The 22,941-nt window shown below is 41.8% G+C and overlaps 1 protein-coding gene across 2 annotated transcripts; it reads right to left on the reverse strand.

The window, feature by feature from the left end:
• Positions 11,184-21,414, reverse strand: AKAP4 (A-kinase anchoring protein 4). Of its 2 annotated transcripts, none has more exons than NM_003886.3 (6): positions 21,270-21,414; positions 19,064-19,159; positions 17,951-18,001; positions 17,298-17,399; positions 12,711-14,843; positions 11,184-11,522 (listed from the first exon to the last, which is right to left on the reverse strand). In NM_003886.3, exons 1-6 carry the CDS (start codon positions 21,294-21,296, stop codon positions 11,367-11,369), a joined length of 2,565 nt encoding a protein of 854 aa, NP_003877.2. In that variant the 5' UTR covers positions 21,297-21,414; the 3' UTR covers positions 11,184-11,366. The 2 variants fall into 2 exon arrangements, with proteins under 2 accessions (NP_003877.2, NP_647450.1); NM_139289.2 differs by lacking the exon at positions 21,270-21,414 and adding an exon at positions 20,637-20,779.

A 22,941-nucleotide genomic window follows, 5' to 3' on the forward strand; every position in this document is an offset into this window, starting at 1 on the left:
CCACGGCCTTCCAGCCTGAGCAACAGACAGACTCTGTCTAAAAAAAAAAAAAAAAAAAAAAAGGCAGACTAAGAGGGGCTTTTGAGTGCTTCGAATGTTCTGTTTCTTGACCATGGGTGGGCTCAGTTTGTGATAATTTATTGATAATGTGTTGAGCTTATAATTTTGTTCAGTTTTCTGTATATAGCCAATACAATGTTTAAAAAGTAGGATGTCAACAAAAGAAAAACAATTACCTAGTCACACCAATTAACTGACAACATGCAATAATCCAGGCAAGAAAGAATGAAGGCGTGAATAATTTAAAGTAGTGGAAATAAGGAGAGGGAAGCTAGGACTGGATGTATGATTGGATGTAGACATTAGACAGAGAGAGGAGTTCTTGACAATGCCCAGGATTCCAGCTTGGACAACTGGGTAAATGATGATGGTGGGACTGGTTGAGATATGGAACATTGGAAGAGATAAGGCTGGTGAGTAGATGGTGAATACAATTGGCACATGATGAGTTCATAGTGTCTATGGACATTCATGTGGAGAGGCACAATGGCATGGGGTTTAAAAGTGAGGGCTGATTTTTATTCTGTACATGATGGAATAAACACACACCTCCCTTTATTGCCTACTGAACTTGAGTACAAAGCTTGTACAGAATGCATGCCAAACTATTTGAGAACTCTGAAAAGTAAATATTAGCAGACAGACTAGAGAAGGCTAGAATTAACAGTGCCACCAAACTGGAAGTGAGTTTACTATTTTTGTTCCTGCAGCATCCCCCAGCAGGAACTCAAGACAATCTGAAACTCAGAAGTGAGCACTCTGGTACAGACAGAGATCCAGTAGAAACCCTCTACTTCTGGTTGGAGGGGTGGAAAGGGGAGATCCAAAATGCTCAAAGAGAGTGGAGGAAATACACTGGTGCTGTTTTTATTTTTTCCCCTGTGGTCTGTCACCCCAGTCAGCAGGCGGTCCCACAGTTGAGGTGGTGGCAGTGGGAAAGAGTAGCCGGGGATGGGAAACTGCAGAAGCCAAAAGTGAATGAAAAGGGAGAACCTTACTTTTCTGTTCAATGAAGCTGCAGCTTTAAGGGGGAGGGGCCAAAACCCATTGCCTTTTTTTTTTTTTTTTTTTTTTTTGTCTCTGTCTCCCCGCCCCCTGCTCCTTCCCCGCCCCGAGCAAAGCGTCTCCTGCCACGTGGCCCAGACAACCTCCATCAATGAGAGCCTGCAGGGTACTGGAAAGTATTGGAAGGATAACGGAAAGTGAGGAGCTCAGGAATGTGGCCCCAAAGAGCTGTTATGACATCTAGGGTTTACCCTTGACCTCTGCGTCCGTTTTCTGAACCTAACTACCATAACGAAGGCTGTCAGAACTGAGAACTGAGCTAAGCGGTCTTCCCAACAGACCCAACTGACCTACTGGTTGGTCACGCGAGAAAACGGATTAGAACTGCGAAATATTTGAAAGCTTAACTGACATTGGAAATATAGGCTGTAGAAGAATAAAAGAAATAGCAACATTCTCCATAGTGGGGGTGGGGTGATGACTCTTAAAGGGAGAGCAGAGGGAGTTTATTGGGCGTGATGAACTGTTCTGTATCCTGATTATGGTGGTAGCTACATAATCTATACATGTGTTAAAATTTATAGAACTGTGAACCAAAACGGAAGAAAGCCAGTTTTACAGAATAATACTTAAAAAAATATAATTTAAAAGTGTGAAGGCTCTGGTGTTCAAATTCTGGTAACACCACTCACTAGCTGTGTTGACCCCAAACAAGTTTCCACCCCTCTGTGCTTCAGTTTCCTTGCCCTCAAACAGAGAAAATCCTAGTTTCTGCCTCCTGGAGAGTTTGTTATGATGGAGGTTAAATGAGATAATACATATAATGTGCTTAGACAGTGCCTGAGACATAGTGTTTGCTTAAGAAATGTCTGTGTATGTCCAGTAGTCAGTTCAATATAAGGGCCTGGGGTTCAGGAAACTGGTGAGAGGATGGAAGAAATCACTGCGTGAGTCACTGCTGTGTATATTTGGGTATTTATAGCCATAGGACAAATAGCTGCTGTGACCTTATGTTTTTAAGCCATGCAACCTACCCAGCCACCAAGCTTCCTCACTTCACTCCTGACCGCTTTCCAGTTTTCATGTAGTTCCTAACCTGTGGTGCTGTCTCCAATTTGGCCTTCAGTTCACTGACTGGTCATGACCTCTCCAAGCTGTTCTTTAAGCTGTTCTCATTCTTCTTTGTGGATCAAAACCTCTTGGACATTCTGCAAAATGCCTGGCCTAGACTCTTAAAAAAGTGACAATGTCATTAAAGACCAGGAAAAAATGGCTGGGACCTTTCTAGATTAAAGGAGACTAAAGGGACATGATAACTCAATACAATGCATGGATATTGGATAGAGCAGAGGGGAACAGCTATTGAGGCTATTATTGGGATTTTTTAGGACAACTGGCTATGACTTGTATGTGGACGAATGTCCTAGTTCCTAGGAGACACACACTGGAGTATTTAGGGTTGAATATCATGATGTCTACACTGACTTTCAAATGGCTCAGAAAAATAATGATAATTTTATATAATAATAATAATTATTATATATATGCACACAATTTTAGTCATTTGTGTGCCAGATAGATAAAGCAAGATGGCAAAATATGAACAATTGAAGCTAGATGAAGGGTATATGGGTACTTATTATACTGGTGTTACAACTTTTCCATAAGTTTTAATTTCTTCAAAATAGAACGGAGTAATATGACATCACTTGGAGATATGTAAAATATACATGCTTGTTTTGCAACCCCAAACAAAGGAATTGAGAATTTATCTGGAGTTGGGGTGGGACAGATGGGCTGGGAATCTGTATTTTAAAAGTTGCGGTATCCTAGCGAAGAAACACCACTGAGAGAACCTCATCTCACACCCTCCTCTACCTCCTCTGGTCCTTGCCGTCTTCCAGGATCCAAACTCTGGCACGAGTTCTCTTTGGCAGTGTCCCAGCTAGGCCTGTCCACCCACCCTCTGTAAAGTGGGTGCAGCTAGATAGTGGGGCTTGTGGGAAGAGCAGCAAAACAAGGATAGATCCTGGGTAGGTCAACAGTTATCAGATGGGCAGAGAAAGAGGGTTCTCTGAAAGAGACTGGGAAGAAAGGGCCAGGGAAGTAGGAAGAAAACCCCAAGATTCGACTCAAAGGAGGATGGAGAGATATGACAAGTCACTCTAGGTGTGCCTGCTTAGAGTTTGCATCAGGATGGGGATAACTAAGTTGTTCTGTCATTTCAGAAGTGGACCATTTGGTTGCAGAGGAGATTTTCCTGGCAAGTCCTCCCTTCCCTTTAGCAGATAGTTTGTGCCACAGGACTCATTGACAAAGGCATCCGAAGTCTCCAACAGGAAAAATTTCTTTTCCAAAAGCAGGGCCTTTGGGAACGAGATGCTGTCAGCCACTGAGAGGAAAGTTAGCAGATCAGGGTGTTTTATTTTACTTTCCTCTCTTGCTGAGTTCTGGGACATGATTTATCTTCTATTGGGAGGTGCTGTGTTAAGCCACGTCAAGGTCATTAAAAATATATGCATTTGGCATTTGGAGGTCGGGGAGAGTTTGGAGTCTGCCTTCTACTGTTTCTGGCATCTGATGGTTGTGACAGTGGCAAATAAAGGCCTGGAGGCCAAGTGTAACCTTAGGGAAGGAAAATGAAAACCTACCACCCTTCTCTTCATCAATTGTCTCCATCACAGCTGGGGTTTCTAGTCGGTCATAAGGGGCACTGCTCACCTTCCCCATCTGCCCCCCAGTAGGTATGTTAGTTCAGCTCTGGAATCTTTTAACATTTAGTGAAGTCCATTTTAAAAAGGAAAAATGAAAGGAACCAAAAAAAAAGCAGAAATAAGCAAAGGAAGTAAAGAACAGTTAAGCAGCACATGGCTCGCTCCAATGTATCCTTCCCATAGCAGACTGAGTGAGCACTCCAGAACACAAAGCTTACTCTGAAACTGCAGAGCTCAAACCCTTCAAGTGGTTTCTCCTTGAACTTAGCAGTGAATCCACATAGTACTCTGATGCCAGCTGACTTTTCTAGCCTTGTCACCCTTCAGTTCCCCTTCACACACTTTCTACTCCAGTGCCATGTCTCCTGGATTCCTAAGCAAGCCATGCCTTTATTCACCTCTGACGTTTTGCACATGGATGGGCACCCACCAGCCACTCAAGTGTGGTGGTGAATAGTACAGAGTCAAGTCTCATTTTGCCTGGGCGTCATCCCAGATGTAGGCAACTTTCTGATCCTCTGTACCTTCATTTCCTCAGTTGAGAATTGGGGCTACCAAGAGAGGCACCTTGAGGATTAGATGTGACAATCTGTGAGAAGAGCCTAGCAGAGGGCCTGGCTCAGCACACAGTTAGCTGTTACTTAACAAACATTGATTGTCTGGGTGCCCAGTAGGTGGGAGGCCCTTATCTGTTCATTTGTTACAAGCTATTTGTAGTCTGGTGGAAAGGCAGACATGAAACCAAGACATTATAAGACAGTGTGATCCAGTGGCGCTGGAACTGTGTGGGTTTGTACCTTTTCTTCAGCTGAGCTCGCCCCAGGTGTTATCTAGAATTCAACTCTTAGCCAGGCCCGAGACTTGAGGAAGATAAGAGAAAGTAAAATACTTCCACCCTGGGAGAGGCATTTCAGACTTGAGGCACTAGCACAGCCCCACAGCTATTCAAATGTTGAAATCCTTTCCTACTGATTGGCAAGTGCCCTGAACACCCCAACTGCCTGTAACCCCTCCTTTCCTTCTACTTCACACATTCTGGCGTGCATTGGTCGGATACCATCAGAGACTGTCCTTGTCTCCTGCCAGGGTGCAAGGGTGCTAGCCTGTCTTGTTGCTCTTTAGCTCTGGTTCCCCTCAACCCCCAACAAGGAGCAGCCCTGAGCCCTCTGAGCAAATGCAAATTCCATACTTGTTCTGCGAGGCTACATTTTCAACATTACATATGCTTCTCCTTGGGGATATTGCCTGCTCTGAGTCCCAGGAGCTGTATCGGCTTGCTTTGGGGGATGCCCAGTTCAGCCTTCTTCTGGGCTATGGTCTATGCCAGCAATATCCTTTGAAAACCTCTGCCTGTCCACCAGGGGAGATTTCTTCCAGCTAACCATCCACTCTACTGCAGAGGTTCCTGTCACCTCCTAGTTGTTCCTACTCCATTCTGTCAGTGTTACCTGCACTATGCTAGGATTTATCCTGACTTATGATGTTATGGACAAGGTCCTGGTGTCCTGTGAAGTAGTATAGAGTGGAAGCTTTGGAGCCTATCTGTGTTTTTCAATCCCAGCTCCAGCACTTCCTAGCTCTGTGACCTTAGCAAGTTACTCAGCCTTTCCAAGCCTCTGTCATCTCATCTGCAAAAAGGGATAACAGTAATACATACCTTATAGGGCTTTTGGGAGGATTATATAATACTGAAAAGCATTTAGAAGAATGCTGACTCACAGTAAAAGCTCAACAAATGTTAGACGTTATTATTATTGCTATTATTATTATTTTGTATTGAAGCTCTTTTTTTTTTTGAGGAAGGTCTTGTCACCCAGGCTGGAGTGCAGTGGTGCAATCTTGGCTCACTGCAGCCTCAACCTCCCGGGCTCAGGTAATCCTCCCACCTCAGACTCCTAAGTAGCTGGGACTACAGGCAAGTGCCACCATGCCCGACTAAGTTTTGCGTTTATATAGATGGGGTTTTACCATGTTGCCTAGGCTGGTGTTGTACTCCTGAGTTCAAGCGATCCACCTGTCTCGGCCTCCCAAAGTGCTGTGATTAGAGGCCTGAGCCACCGTGCCCAACCATACTGAAGCTTTAGTGGGCTTCATTTAGGTATATTTTCAAATATAATTGCCTCTTTTGATGTACATAACCGTTCTAATGAGGTAGGTATAAAAGACTATTGGTTAGAATCCCAATTTTTGAGGTAAAGAAATTAAGACTTGGCTATATGAAGTGAGATGGCCATGGTTAATGACAAGTTTTATGATTTCCCGTTTAATGTTATTGTTCTCCACCAGAAGACACTGAAATAGATGGATTGTTATTTATTCAATAAATATTTATTGAATGGCTACTGTGTGCCAGGCATTGTGCTGGGCGCTGAGGGTACAGTGGTGAGCAAGACAGACAGGTCCCTGTGCTCCTGAAGTTACCATTTTAGTGGAAGGGGACAATCAATAAGCAAGTAAATAACAATAAAAGGTATATATCAGTTAGTGCAATAAAAATTAAACAGGGCAATGGGATACAAAGTAATTAAGGGAGATAAGGTAGTGAATGAAGGAGGGTTTTTCTGGGGAGGTGACTTTCATGACAAGTAGATGAGCTGGAGACCTTCTCACCTTGGATATGTAGCTAGGTTCTGGGAGAGAAGTCCTCATGAAGAGGGGATTTCCAAGGTCCTACTCTGGGCCACCATAGACAAGTGGACAGGAAGGAGGGTTGCAAGATAAGGGTTGCTCAGAGCCCAAAGTCAGAAAGACTTGCTAAATTTGAGATTTTCTGGAAAGAGGCAGGAGAGCAAAGAAACTTTTAGCAGTGGAAAGGGAATTTTTTTCCTTATAGGTACTTATTAAGTTTAAACATTTTAAAAGTAACTTTATTGAGATATAATTTAGATAGAATAAAGTTCACTGATTCTAAGCATACAGGTTAACGAGTCTTGAGAAACATAGACCCCTGTGTTAAACATCGCCTCTCTCAAGATATACAGAACATTTTCATCACCCTAAAGTGTTCCCTTGAGACTTTCGCAGTCAATTCTGGCTAGGTATTATGTAGAATGTCCCTCAGTTTGGGTTTGTCTGATGGTTTCTCATTATTAGACTAGGGTTATGTGTTTTTTGCAAGAATACCACAGAAGCGATAAGCCCTTCTTATCATATTATATCGGGAGATACATGATATCATTGTGTCTTTCCTGGTGATATTGGCCTTGACCATCTAATTAAGATGTAACTAACAGATTTCTCCATTGGAAAGTTACTACTTTTCCCTTTGCAATTAATAAGTATCTTGAGAGAGACACTGAAACTATCCCATAAATATTTGATTTAGCACTATATAAGACCTATATGTTGAATTAGAGAGTGGTGTTTTGTTGAATTTAGTTTTACCAGTCAAGAGCATGGTCTATTTTTACTATTCACCTGTTTTTATTTTTCTCATTCATGTTTTATAGTTTGTTCTTTAATAAACATGGATCTGGATTAATGGGAAGACAATGTGATAGAAAGGAAAGAGCATAGTATTTGACACGAGGCAAACCTGGATTTGAATCCCAACTTTCCCACTCACTGGTTAGATGACCTTGCAAAAGGCCTGACTCGCTAATTTCTCATCCATAAAAAGTGGCTGGGAAGAAACCATCTCACAAGGTTTTTGAAAGCATTAAAGCACTGAGTAGTATCTGGCACTCAGTAAGTGCTGTGTAAATGTCATTTCTTGCCTCCTTTAATACCCAAGTGTTTAATATTGTTGTCACAATTGTGAGTAGACTCCTCTTTCTGGCAGGGTGGCCTTAGGATATAGGAATTCAACAGATTCTTTTAGATTTATTTTATGTTCTGACACCACAGAGGCTTTGGCTCGGGAGAAGCAGTGAACTTTTTACATGTCTCTGAGTCACTGGGGAGACTGTTTTAATTGACAGCAAATTATTGCAGCTCACCAGTATCTCCTATCCTAGTACCTTTGCAAAACTCCTTCATTACCTTTGGTATTTGGGGATTTGATTTTCACTGATGTACAAATATACTATTTGCAAAAGCGGCATTTTTTTCCCTCTTTCCTATATTTCTACTTTTTGTTTATTTTTCTTCTTTCATTATTAGAATTGTTTTAAGGTAGAACTTTAACACGGGTAATCTTGTGCAGTTCCTGTTTTTACCCAGAATAAATCTCATATGAGTTTTTATTTATTTATTTTTTATTTTTGGGGGGGTGGGGGGGAAAGGGTGTACTCTTATCATATTAAACAAGAGAGAAAACACTGCAACACCCACCCTCACCCACCCCATCTCTGATTTCTGATGTCTTAAGACTTAAGCAAAACTTTGCTTTCCTTGTTTGGTCTTTTTCCTTGTTCCAAATTTTATTTCCCCTTTTCTAAACTTTTAATTTGTTATTTGACATGAGGCAAACGTGGATTTGAGTTTACACTGGATTTTAGTTTAAACCTGGATTTTATTTTACTTTCTTTAGGCAGGATGTCACTGTTTCTTTTTTTATTCTGATATAGGCTTTAAGGGCAACACATTCTCTAAATGCTGCCTTGGCAATCTCCCAGAAAGTGTTACTGTTGTCAGAAAAAGGGGTCCTGATCCAGACCCCAAGAGAGGGTTCTTGGATCTAATGCAGGAAGGAATTCAAGGCAAGTTGTAGAGTGCAGGGAGAAGAGACAGTTTATTGAACACTGCTACTCAGTTACAGAGTAGGGCGTCCTCAGCTGCTACTCAGTTACAGAGTAGGGCATCCTCAGCTGCTACTCAGTTACAGAGTAGGGCGTCCTCAGAAAGCAAGAGGAGGAACGACTTGTCTTTAAGTTTTCTTATATAGTGGTCTTATTTTCTATGTAAAACTAAGTTATGTCTACATGCTGGTGGGCTGACAGCATGACAATTTATTATTTTGCTGATGTAAAGAAAACTATTCTTGGCATTTTAGCTTGTAAGCACATCAAAGCATGACTATAATCAACTTAAAAGCATATATTGTTATGCGATATTGGGACATCTGAACATTCTGCTGTCGTGGGCATTTATCCTTACAGGTATTATTAAGCTGTTTCCTCAGCCATAAACATCTTATGACCATGGGCCGTGACTGGCAAGGAATGTGCCTTATTAGTTTTAACATGGAATTGATTTTAAAATGGTGTCACCTGGCTCTCCTAGGCTCCTGTTTCTCTAACATTACTCCCATGAAATCAGTCTTACAAATTAATTTTTCCTTTTGCCTCAGGCTCCATTATGGCTTGGCATGGCACTGTTACTGATCGTGTGTATAAAAATTTTTGATATTTTGTTCATCACGGTTTTTTGGCATTAATTTATTAAAATATTATTTGATTATGGAGTTTTTGATCCCTGAGGCAAGTACCTCTCTCACCTCATTCCAGTCTAGTTCTGGCCTTGTAATAACCTCCCAGACAAGTTTTGCTTATAATTTTCTTTTGAAATGGAAGCCTGATATCAGAGAGACTGAAACTGTTATTAAGCCAATTGTACCGCCTGCCAGGAGAGAATCATGCTGTCCTTTTCTGCTCCTTTCGCCTCTTTCTTACTATATGCCAGACTCTCAGCTCAGCAGAAGTCCTTGTCCATTTCCAGCTGCTGGCATTGAGCACGGCCACATTGCTATTGGGATGCCTGGGGTTACTTCTTCATTTAGAGAGGTCAAAGGCCAGGGTCTTATTCTCCGGAAATAAACCCCAAGGGCTATTGAGCTCCTCCAGACCCTTGACAGGGCCCTTGTGGCCCAAAGCATTCCTTTCTCTGCTGGAATCTGTCAGTTAGCTCTGGCAAAAATCAAGTTTCCTCGCTCTGAACTTACTCCATCCACACAAGTTTCCCTTAGAAATTATGGAAAAGAAACTTGTTCGTATAATTCTCAAATGTCAGAACTGGAAAGGCCCTGAGAGACCATCTTGCCCCAACCCCTTTCATTTAACAGAACATGTAACTTCCTTTGCTCTATTTCCACGTTTCAAGGAATCCCCAAGGCTGCCTCATAATAAAAATCAGGAACAAGGTAAGAGCCAAGTTAATCAAGGAAGTAAACTGCTATGGGACCCAGCTGTGCTCAGGGAGGACTGAATCATTAGAAATGTAGCCCTGGCCTCGAGATTTGTTTATTAAGGATTTTCTTCAAGGGCAAAGAGAAGGATCTGTGATGGCTCAACTCCAAAGATTTTAATGGGGTGGGGTGAGACTCAAAAAGATTCCATGAGCTTTCAGCCGGGCTGGAGAGTTGTAAAGATCCTGCTTTGAAGAAGCCTGCCTTTACTTCTTCTATCTGACTGGGTCTGGCATCGTGGAGAAGTTGGCAAAGTTTGCCTGTGTGCTTAACTTCTCCCAAAATGTGTCTCTCTGGGTCCCATACTCAGAGGATATGCTTTCAGTTCTGAAATGTATCAAGAGGGCACTCCTGTGTTAGGACTGGCATTGAAAGTCACATATCATTCACATATCTACATTTGCAACAAAATCCACCCTGTGCAAAACACCATCACATCTATTCCTCTAGTTTAACCTGTAAACAATGTAAGGTAATTTTTAGCTACATTTTACAGATGAACAGGCTCAGTCTGCAGGATTGCCTAAGGCCATGTGACTAGTAAGAGGCAAAGCTTTGACTGTTGAGTCCAGAAGGACACCCCATCCTGTGCTTGTTCTACTAAGCCGCAACGCCTCAAGGGTGCCAAAGTGTGCCATGAGAGCACACAGTAAACTAGCTAACAAGGGCCGCAGGGTTGAAACCACTGTCTTGATCTGATTTGCAGTGAATGCTAGCACTGTGATTGACTTACAGGACACATAGAACAAATCTGGGAACTTACTGTTATTCCCAGAGAAGACACTGGGACATTGGGCCCCAAAGGAATTTACCCATCTTGGAGGTTTATGTTCTTGGAAAATTTTTCCTTCAGACTGGAAGAAGACAAGGATATCTCATCAACTGAAGGAAATTCCTTATAAGGAAGCTTTATTCACACACAGGAGAGGATCAGATCCCACTGTAGTTCTGGGTAGTATTTAGCTATGTGCAGTGAACACTTTTGAGGGATGTGTGTGTAGCAAGGCAGGGTAATGGGTATACGCTTTCTTCAACTAAACCAAGAAAGCTGTATCCTTGGGATTAGAAAGGGGATTATCAAGTTAGTTGTGCAGTTCAGGGAGAAATAGGAAGGCCACAGGTGGGAAAACTCTAAATAGACTGTGAACTGAGATTATTTGGACAAACCAGATTACTTAGGGACCTTGACATGGATTATATCCCTGTGTCCTCGGTGCTCAGAAAATAATCCAGGGTGAGATCTGAATACAACTCCAACACTGTATCACCATTCCTGGAAAATGAGCCAATTCCCTTCTCTTGTCTTGGAAATAGCTGATCAAAAAACAATGACACATTTATTATTATTTTTTTTTATTTTATTTCCCAGTTTGTTGACACCTCTTACATTCACAGGCAACTGCTCAAGTGTATTGGGAAATACAGTTGTGTATTGTGCAGTTGACTGGCCTGATGGTGGGGGTGCTCTGGCTGGGATGGAATGCTGCTAGGGGGGCTAAGATGAAGAGGAGTCAAGGATCAGCTCACAGGTTAGCGAGCAGCCAGTCCAGCAACTGTTTCCTGGCCACCTTTCCCACAGCTTCATCTGGTTGCCGTTCCTTGGCAAACTTCATGACCTCTTGAAGAAGACCTCCTACACTGTACCCCTTCTCTGCTGCTTTAGCTGAAACCTGAGGAAGCTGTGGGGAAAACAGAGCTAGTGTGAGTTGCGTGATGCTTTTTGGAGGAAAGACCTGCTGGACGAAGTTCTACCACCCAACCCCCTCAACCCCTAACCTCCTCACCCACACCCACCACCTTCCCGCCCATGATTCTAGGATTAGGGTACAGCATGTCATAGATCTAGGACTAGAGGCTGCTGACACATCTTTCCTTTTCCCTTGAAACTTCTCTAATGACATAGATCAAAATGCCAAAGATACTTTCTTTTTTGAGCTTCAAAAACACACTCTGAAATTAGTTGTGTTCATTAAATACTTTTCACCAGATGCTGGACCCTTCAGTTAGTCTGTGCTGATTGCTAGGTCAAGGTTTGGGGTTGCCATTCCCCCACCTCCCTAAAAAAGTATGAGACTTGGAGTAGGGAGGATTGTCTGAGCTTGGCTCCTGGACTGAAAATAACTTTGTTAAGTATTTGATGTTTCTGGAATCCATCTAATGCAGGAAACTCAGCTGTCAGATAGGTGTGTGTGTGTGTGTGTGTGTGTGTGTGTGTGTGTGTGTGAGAGAGAGAAAGAGAGAGAGAGAGAGACAGAGAGAGAATGTGCATCTATATGAATGTATGAATGCTGGCCTCCATGGAATCTGAGGAGCAGGGCCAGGACTAGGGTCAGGCAAGTGAGGCACCTAGGGCATAAAATTTAAGGAGACAGGACTCTCAGGGCACTTGCAGGACCCATGAGTTTGGGGGAGGAGCATAGGGAAAATAGTAAGAGACAAGTTTCAAACTGTTTCTGGTAGGTCAAACACAAAATTAGTCCATGATACTTCCAACACCTCAAGAGGTAGGGAAGAACTCCATTTTCCTTTTTTGTTCCCTCCTCTCTAGAGTACTTTGGGGGATCTTAAAACTCAAAACATAAGACTTAATCATTCCCCAATGTTTTATCAAATAGTTTGTCAAAAGGGTCACGGATGAAATGCGTTAATCTCACTCTCCTCCTCTTGGTGGAAATGCACAGGCTTTGAGGTGTCCACTTAGCTAGTGGTTCACCGTTTTTGTGTCTTTTTATGAGGTGAAAGTAATTCATGAAGCACACGGTAAAGAATAGACTTGAAACTCGAATGATCTTGGGCTCTAAGTACAATGCTGCCTCCCTGCCTCTGCCCATTCCAACTTTCTTCTTGTGCCTTAATGCATTACTTACCTTTTCCAGTTGTCCATCCTTATCTCCCATGAAGTAGAGCATGGGCACGTTAAACTGGGAGGCTGCAATCCACTGCAGGACAGCCTGGAGCTGCTTCTGCAAGCTATTTGTAGAGCACTGATTATTGACAATTACTTCATGTCCAAGAGAGTCTTGATAGTTCTGTGGCATTGCACCACTGTGAATGCATCTGGTGCCCCTGAAATTGGGCTTATTTGCCGAGGCTGCTTGTTCTTCCAACTCAGCAAGGGCTGCCCCATCGTTGCTATACTTAGCCATGATAAGGCAGAGCTTCATCACAGATTCTACTAGTTTATCTATAAATTGCCCGTTCGCTTGCTTCATCCCACTGGTACAGTCAAGTTCTTGATGCTCCTGGCATTGTTCTTCCGCTTTGTCAGATCTGTTGGACATGGAAGCTGCTTTGCTTGCCCTGGGCTCAGAACACTTGTTCTCACCTTCGCATGGATCCTCACATTTGAAGGGGTTCTCATTAAGCAGTTTCTGAATCAGCATTAGAACGATGTTTGACATATCCATTTTCTGGGAGTCCAGGTGTTGGTTCTCCTTTTGACAGGTGGATGGTCCAGGGGCTCTGTGAGATTCTAGTTGTTTCACTGAAAGTGCTTTGGCACTTTGGCCACCTCCACACTTTTCATATTGAGTACTCTGAGCCATATAGCCCATGGTGGAACCAGGACAGTCTTCTTCACATGTATCTTTGCCCTTAGTCTGCTGGGTCAGATGGTACTGGATCAGCTTAAGGGCAGAGACAATCAGGTCCTTGGCCAGTGAATCTGTGGAAGCATTGATCTTTTCTCCTTTCTCATCTTTATTGCTGCATGCTTTGGTAGCCACCTTGCATGAGTTTCCTTGCTTTTGGTTCCAGATGGTTAGGCCCTCTTTGAGAATGTGTTCACCGACTTTCTCAGCACTAGTCAGTGACTTGCATGGGTCTGATTTCATTTTGCCTTTGTCCCTCTCTTTCATTTCAGCTTTCATGGTGGAGAATTCAAGACTCTGATTCCTGCATTTGGGATCATGGGACCCAGCTTTTAAAGATGCATATGACAGACTCTGAGACTTAGTCTCCTTCTCCTCACCTATAAGGGCACTGACCAAGCGCTTCAGCATGGCCTCCATGATGTCTGTAGCATTTTGTTTCCACTGGTTGAACAGATTTCTCTTGACAGCTGAGACAAAGTCTGAGTCAGTCATCAGGACCCCAGTAATATTATGCAGGTTCTTCATGCAAGAATCAATCAAATCGGACACAATCTCCTTGGTGTGCCTTAGCAACACCCTCTTCAGGACCACAGATGCTGGAATTGGCTTCCCAGAGCTGTGCACTTTCAAGGTCTTCATGAGAGAGACCATCATGTCAGATGCCACCTGATTTGCATAAACCATGAGCCCCTTGCTGATGGAATCTGCAAATTCTTTGCTCTCTCTCTGGGACATCTGTTTGTCTCCACTTTTGCTCTTGTTGGATAATTCGCTATATAGAAAGCTTTTCTGGCCACCTTCCCTGGACTCCTCTCCAGTGCCACGCATTTCTGCAGCTGTCAGTTCCACAGCTTCATAGGCCATTTCAGAAGCAATCTTGCTCGCAGGAGTTCGGGGACTGATTCTCTCTTTGTTCCCAGGGGATGGACAGATTGAATGATGAAGGCATTTGCTTTTACCTTCCAACTTCTCCTTGATTTCCTTATGGGCCATCTGGATTACCAGAGAAGATAGTCGGTTGACGTAGAAGGAAAGGTCATCTATAGAACATTCTCCATCAGGGGAAATGACTGCTCTCTGAGTGCTAGGAGGTTTGGCTGGAGGAGCTGAAGGACTTTGATTATTGTTGGTGTTTTTAGCTGCTGTCATTTCTAGACGTAGGTTTTGAGGTCTGTTCATCAAATAATCTATGTTCACTTGATCGGCATAGACACTGTAGCAGTTCTCAGAGGATGCTCTGTGATATTCGCCCTCTGTGTCTCCTACTTTATGTTTACAGGTAGAGGTTGAGGGGCTCAGTGCATGTTGGAAACCCAAGGCATACTTCTGGAGATCACTGAGAAGCCAGTTGAGGACACTTACAGGATCAGAGGGAGCTTGTTTGAAAAGGCATACAGATCCCTCTGTCTAAAAAAAGAAGAAGACCTATCCATAAGAGTTTGGGTAGGCTACTTTTTTCCCTTATTTTATTTAGAAGATGTATCAGATTAGGGATTTGACCTTTTGGAGTTTGTATGGGAACGTAACATCCAGTTATATCCATTAGTACACATTCAAGCAGAAGTGGCAGCAACAAAAGTTCAAAGTATATACATGTGTATACTTTATAGAAGGGTTATCAATATATGTCTGCCAACTCATATGAATATGTTGTATCTCAATGTGTCAAAAATGTGTCAGTGTGTCTGTTGTGTGTGTATATATGCATGGAAATATAGCAGTTCACATGTGTGAACATCTCAAAGACGTGAGAATGTGCCATTCTGTATTGTTAGTGTGTGAAAATGTGCTTCTGTGTGTGTGTGCATATGTGTGACTATGTCTAAGCATGTGTAATAATGTGTTGACATCATTACCTATTGTATATGTCTACTGTATAGGCTGACATGTGCATGTTAGTATGCATATTTGTACATGTGTGAATGTCAAAATATGAGTGTCTATGTCAGTGTGTCTCTGAATATGTAAATGAGCAAGTGTCAATTTCAGTAATCTGCATATATGTGTGTAATATAAATTCACTAGTATGTATCATGCAGCTATAAATGCATTTATGTATGTTAAAGCATAAATTCACATATTAACATACACATTCATTAATATAATAGATACAATTTTAATATATTAATGTATATGTATGTTAAAACATGAATATGTGTAAACAGGTGATTGTATAATGACTATGTATGTTCATAAATTGGGTATAAATTTATGTTATATTTATATGTTATGTCAATATTTGACCATGTGTATGTCAATGTTGTACATACCCTGGTATTTGAGTATGTGTGTGAGTAGGTGTGTTATTGCATTTGTGTCAACAGTGTATGTATCAATACGAACAAACAAGTGTGTTAGTAAATATGTGTCGCTTAGTGTAAGTTTGTGTGTATGTCAGCATGACTGTATATGACCATATATGTCTTTGCATACATATGTATATTTATAAGTGTGTATACCAATAACTGAGTCTGTATGGTCACTATGTTTTGATCAAGTCTTATGCATGTAATGTGTGTGAATGTATGTTCATGCATTGTGTAATATGGGTGTTTATGTGTGTCCTGTGTGGGCATGTCACTGCATCTGACTCTGTATGACTTTGTATATCTTTGTATATGTGTGTCATTGTTTATGATCAGTTTAAGTTTGCTACATCAATGCTTGTGTATGTCAATATCAAATGTAGCCAAGCATGTATTTATAATTGCTTGTATAAATTGTTTTTTGTAAATGTATATAAATGTATACATTGATGTGTGTATCATTTTGTATAAATTTATATGTGTATACCTATGCCTGTGACTGTGTATGCCCATGTCCAGATATGTGTATATGTACTATATACACATATTCCACCCAACACTAACTACCAAGCCCTCTGCTCCTTCTATTGCTTCATCTCCTCTCTTTTCACTGAATTTCTGGAAATGTGAGGTCATGATAAAGTCAACTTTTTGCAAATGAGCTTAAGTTACAATCAAGCAGATCTGCATTGTATGTAGGAAACATGGGCTGCTTTTTCAAAAATTAATGCCAGGTATAATTTATCCCTTTCTTAAGACTCCAAAATTGAGTTGGCCATACCCAAGTAAACTGAAAACTCTTTGGATACTGTAATGTAAACTTGTTTTTCCTTCCTTGGGGGCCACTCCTTTCTGGAGTCTGGGGTCAGAAATAATGTTTTGGTTATAATATGAGCCTGGAGACACAGAACAAGAAACATTTGATTCCTCTGCATTAAAGTCAAATATCCTGCCCTATTACCAGCCACTCCAGGCTTGTAGGTATGAGAGGGTGACTTGTTGTATGCTCCAGTGCCCTCCCAAAACCAGGACCCTAACAGATATAATTTTGGATACTTAAACAAAACCAAAAGGAGTTTGTATGTCACAGTGGCATGCAAGTTTAATTGCTTCTAACTTTAAGCTACTCAACAGCCTAGGTAATCTCTTAGACAACAGGGTAAGGATGAGGCACTCAAATTCTTGGTGGTTATGGATTGTCTCTGCTCCATACCCCTCTTTCTTCCCTGCTGGATGCTGGGCAATGTGGGGCACACAAGTCCATTACCAGCCAGCGAAGAACATTACAAATAGTCTTGTGTGATTATGATTGGATGGGTAGCTGGAAATCAGGAGAGGGCATTCTGAGCCTCTGTGATTAGTGCCATTATTAAGTACCTGGGTGTTGAACTTACTGTGGTCTTGAACTTACGCCTGTGTTCTCTAGAATGTCATAGTATTCAAATTGATGAGCCTGTTTGACAGTAAGTGTCTTACCATGTCTGATCCAGAGTCCTCAGACTCATCATTGAGCTCTGAGAATTAGAAGTGGTGGGATCTCAGAGGTTAAGTGTACCTTAGACTGGTCTTTCTTCTCAGTGTCCTTGATCACGATAATCTCTTTTTCTTCCAGACTTCCCAGGTTTAAGTTGCCTTCTGAGCTGGAACTAGCAGCATCCTATGGAATTAAAGGGTGAGATTCTTAAACAGTTACTTTTGGATATTTCTCCAAGCTGCCCCCCTAGGCTATGACTTCAAATCATGAATGTTATGACTTCTTTTATCTTTTTTCTTTCTGCAGGAGAGGTAGGCTTGTGAGGCTAGCTAATCTTTGAAGAATGAGACGAAGTTCCCTCCACAAATTACTACTCCCCACTCTGAAGATGCTCACAAAGCCACCAGTCTCAAGAACTATATTCATCACCCTTTGGATGGGTTTTTTTTTTTAAATAAAAAAATAAAAAACAACTTTTCTGACATGCTATCTTCCATGTTTTATCTCTTTCAGTCCTACCAGCAACTTAAGTGGCTTCTAAAATGAGACTTGATATCAAGAGTGACGGTAAATTCAGAACCAGGGATCTTGGGCTCATGAGAATGCTGGCTTTCCCCCTGAGTCCCCTCCTCCTTTCCCCTCTCTCCCCCCAACATTTTCCATTCTTCATACTTCACTGATAACCCTTCTCAGCAGCTTCCCACCGATTCTGACTCTGAGCAGAGAATACGCACCTTGTAATCTTTATCTTCTACATTCAGGGTGGACACATCGACAAAGCATATCTGCATCAAATTAGAAGGGTGAATTTAGAAAAACTCTAGAGAAAGGGGCATAATTTCTCTTTCTTGGAGATGATAATAGCACCTACCTCAGAGGGTTCTTGTGAGGATTAACTGAGATACTATATGGAAAGCATGTAAAAGCAGATTGCCTGGCACATAGTGAGTACCCAATAAATGTTAATACTGTGATTATTGTTAGGCAGACAGAATCTTAGCATTAGCACATTTCTTAAATGAGAATACCAACCTCCTGTCAGAGTGAGGCCTGAGGTACAATATCCACATGTATTAATTGAGAAAACTGTGAAGAGAAATGGCTTGCCCAACTGACACAAACTTAAATGTGGAGCTTGTATTAGAACTCAATTTTCCTGGCTTCCAGTTTAGAGCACTTGCTACTACACTAGTGTTTCTCAAAATTTATTTTATTATCAATAATATAGAATATTTTAAGTAGTGTATGGATAAATATTTCTGCATTTAATAGGTGAATTTTATTGTGCATTAGGGAGAATACATACTAGAACATCAAACCTGGGATATTATGGATAATATTTCTTAGCATGATTGTAATTTTTAAAATGTAAGTCAATTTTTAAAACATTGTAAAAATACATATTAATTAAATAATAGTATGCGTGACATTTGAACATGATTGAAGACTGTGAAGCCCTGTGAATTACTTGAAGTTTGGGAAACAGACCATGAAGCATTTTGCCCTCCTGAGGGGTCCTAGGGTAACATTGTTAGCTAGGCAATATTATTATGACTTAAGAGGTCTTAACTAATAGAGGCTGGTTGCCAGGCAACCACCACTCCTCCCTCAGGCTCCTCCCCAGCCTCCCCTCCCCAGGTCCTTTACATCACACCACACCCTGCCCCTCCCTTGATTTTTATCTCTGTGTGATGTATGAGCATGCTGGCCCCTGACAGACCTTGTTGAGCTTGGTTGCTTGGAGAAGTCAGGGTATCATCGTCCATTAGTTTATCTTGGGCCCCAGGATATCTATACCCATATGCCAATTTTTCCTACTCCTCGGCATGAGTCATTTTTTATCTTACCACTTTCCGGTCCTGATCTTGCTGTCCTTCTGGGTTGTAGAGATCTACCTTGCACACACCCCTGTGGCTGCGTAACCAGTCAATATCATCAGACATCTGGAAAGAGAAAGAAAAGAAAGCTGAAATGCTTATATATGGTTTTTGGAAACCGGGTCAATTTGGATAAGAATCTCTGGAGGGGTTCTGAAATCCATTTCTGTGTTTCATATATAGGTTTAGGCTAGGAACTGGTGGGGTGAGCAGTGGGGGACACATTGAGATGTTTGAACTTGATGCTTAGGATCATTATCTTTTAGCAAAATCCATAGTCTCCTTTAATTTAGACTCCCCACACCAAGTATTTGGAATCATGAGAGTATGATGACCTGGGAATCAAATTTAAAAGGAAATCTAGTGACTTTGGGGATTACATTTAGTGATTTACTTCTACCCAACTCTACTAACTAAATGTCTCTGATCTCCACATTTCTTTACCCCCTCGAGTACCTTCAAAAAACTCCAGCTCACGTTACCCCCTCTAACTTAATTCTAGCTAACTCCAGTTCAACCAGTCTTTCCCATTACACTAAAGAAAGTGAAATTAGATAAATAGCTATAACACATCACTCAGAGCCATTGGAAAATACTAAAGTCAATAGCAGTAAATAAATAGCCCTTTTATTAAAACAACATATACAATTTCAATATATAGAACAAGATTTTGAATGCTGAGAAAACCCAGTCTAATAACCATAAATATAACACCGAGAGACAGAAATCTGAGGGAAGACCAGACCCTGATCCAATAGGATCAAGTTTAATTTATTTTAGAAAGAAAAAATAATCTCTGCCAACTTCCTTCCACCATCACCCCCTGCCACCACCTCCCAACCCAGTCTGGAACTAAAAGTAAAAAGGAAATGACAAAAGCCAGTGACTGATTTTTGCTACGTAAGACCTGAGATTTATGCTTAGAACACACAGTTAAGAGCTCAGTAGACTTGTTTTTGGTATCTGGGGCTTGAATTTGATTTCTTTTTAAATTTTAACAAGAGAAATCCTTTTTGCCAAGTATTAGAGGGCTATTGAATTCCCCCTCCCACCCTCCCCACTCCCGCTCTCCCTTCTGCCCTTCCCCTCCCCTCTCTCCCCACTCCCCTCCCTCCCTCCCCTTTCCATTCCCTCCCCCTTTCTCCCCCTCCCCTTTCTCCCTCTTCCCTCCCCCTCCCTCCCCTTCTCTTTCTCCCTCCTTCTTTCCTTCCACCCCTTCTCTATTCCCCTACAGCATATTAATAATAGCTATTCTCTAATGGCTATCCTTTCACATGATAATACTACATTCCTGCTCTTTACCATCCCTGCCTCCAACCAAGATCTTTTTGAACTCTTCCTTCAGGAATCTCTGTGAAACCTTGAAAAAGTTATAGGAAAAGACTCACTCTGAAGAGGGAGTTTCTTTTTTTCCAAGAGCTACATAGGGAACACTAGCCTAGTAAAAAAAGAGGTGGAGGCATAGAGTCCCTCATGTGATTCAGAAACAGCCTAAGTCCAAGTCCAAAAGAACTGTGAAAAATAAAATTTATGAACTCATTACCTTGATGATGAAGTTCTTTTAGATGTTTGGCTGAAAACGTGACACCCAGAAGGGAGATGTGCCCCTTTAGATGGAACTGAGAAGTGCCAAGTTCTTGGGCACCTGCAGTTGGCTGCCACCCCTGTCAGCTGTTGGACCAGACTGAGGGGCCAGGCTTTCCCCTGCTGCCTCTGACCCTGGGGTGTGGCAACAGAGTTTGTTGGGTCACAATGCCTGAACTGTCACAACCTAAGCAAAGGTGGGCATGTTGGCAAACTCAGAAACCTATTCCCATCAAAAGCACATCAGGCTGCCTGTGGTGCGACAAACTTTTTCTGTTATCTCTATGAGGGTACACACCATTTTTCTCACATTTTCTCTGGCTCACAGTCCATCAAGATATCCCTTCTCTTTTCATTTCCTGCGAGACCTCCAGAACAATCTAATCATACCCCTACTAGAGAATCAGAGTTATATTGCAAGAGATCTTTAGATTTACGTAGAAACAGAGAAATGTTGATCAAAATCTTTTCTGGGTATCCCAAATAAAAGTATGAAAATAGAAACTTGGAGGCTGCCTCAGCAGCTTCTGTAGTTTCACCTCACCATTAAGATGCCCCCTTAGCTAGTCAAAAAGAAGTCAGATGTCCCTACCATTGTAGTATCAGAGTACGCCATCATGTAGGACCCTGGAATGATGTTTTCTTGTTGATTTGGATGCTGTGATGACTCTTCCAGTCTGCCTCAAGATACTGCTTTTTTCTTCAACTCTCCATGCCCTCCTACAGCCTTGACTGCCAGCTGGTACCAGAGTTACCTCTTCTTGACATCACCGTTTCTATAGAGAACAGTGACAGCACAAAGATGGAGGGCTCTAAGGATTCTGTGTGCTCTAAGTGGTCTAGCAGGCTCTGACCTTCCCTATGAGAAATAAGTTGTCCAGAGAAAGGCTGATCTAGTTGAGACAGGGTCTGTCTTTTACAGACTCCCTAGGCCATGAAAAGACTTAAGCTCCACTTAATCTTTTCAATCTGGCCAGTGCTGGTTTGTTGGCTGCAGTATGTGTTAGAGATTTATCCATTACACTTTGAGATGCCTTCATCTCATCTTACTGAGTTTAGCCCCAGTTTGGAAATATTATCCCACAACCAAATGTCTCTCACTCTGCCCAAGTCTCATCTTTCCTTGTCTTTTCTCCATGTCTCCACTTTAATACTGCATGCATGTAAATAAATGCATCTGAATTAACAATCAGTTGAGATGATCCCCTAAAAGAGTTCCATATTCTTGGTTCTACCTCCATTTATTCTTTTTCCTGTTGCCCCTGAGATTGCATCTCTAACTCCGCTATATTATTTTGATCCTGTTAGCTCATGGTGTCAAACAGAAACAGAGCCTGGAATTTGTTAGAGGCGGCAAGACAGATTTTATTCAGGCCACTGCAGTAGAGGAGAGAGACTTCTGATGAACAGATCTCAACTCCACTGAAACAAAAGGCAGGGTGTGCTAAGGAAAAGTACCGAAGGACATTGAGTGGGGGTGAGCTTGGTCAATGTATTGGGGCATCTGTGTTTGCTAATGGGTGCTTATTAAAGTTAGGTTCCCTATGTTCACAATGTCAGGTTTATAAAGAAAAACATAATTAAGAACTATAAAGAAAGAAATGAAAGAAAGTAAAATCAAAAAAAGAAAAGAAAAGAAAGCTAAGCTCCTACCTTCCCATAGAGACAGGGAGACATGGACCCTATTTTTCTTGATCATTACATTACAAAGGGATGGCTTCCAGGTTGTTGAGAAAGACAGTCCTGGGTTGTAGAAGATACATCTTAAAAGAAGAGAGAAAGAATTTACAATTGCAAGTTTTCTAAAGTACATGCTGTAAGGAAGGGAGTCAGGGCCTGTAGTCAGGTTTTGGCCTGAACAAACAGTAAATTCTTTTGGCAGCAATGAACTGTCTCAGGAAGGCATTTTAAGGGGGGCTAGGATTGTCATACTAGGGAAATGGCCTTTTGGCAGCTTTGAACTGTCTCAGGAAGGCATTTTAAAAGGGCTGAGATTGTCATCCTAGGGAAATGGCCTTGAGCTGATAGAAACTACGCTGGTGTTTGTTCAAGTCTCTTAGTGTGTGTATGTATTGGGGGGCAGGTGGATGAAATTGTGCCGAAAGTTGCAGTTCTTATAGGCCAAAGTTGAGGCCTAGCTGAGAAGTGGGCTTAGAGAAGCCTGACTAAAGTTTGATCATGAAGAGGGTCTTTGTTGCTTTTCCTATACCATCCTTTTGTCAAGGGGCAACTTTTGATGATTAAAGACAAAGTTGGAGCTCCTG

Source organism: Homo sapiens, chromosome X (genome assembly GCF_000001405.40).
Source record: "Homo sapiens chromosome X, GRCh38.p14 Primary Assembly".
NCBI lineage: Eukaryota > Metazoa > Chordata > Mammalia > Primates > Hominidae > Homo > Homo sapiens.

Coding starts and splice junctions, on each gene's coding strand:
- AKAP4 (NM_003886.3), bottom strand. CDS start 21,296: ATGATGGCGTACTCTGATACTACAATG. Junction 18,002..19,063: donor AAGATCAGGACCGGAAAGTG/GTAAGATAAAAA, acceptor AATTTGATGCAG/ATATGCTTTGTCGATGTGTC. Junction 11,523..12,710: donor AGGATGGACAACTGGAAAAG/GTAAGTAATGCA, acceptor TTTTCCCCACAG/CTTCCTCAGGTTTCAGCTAA.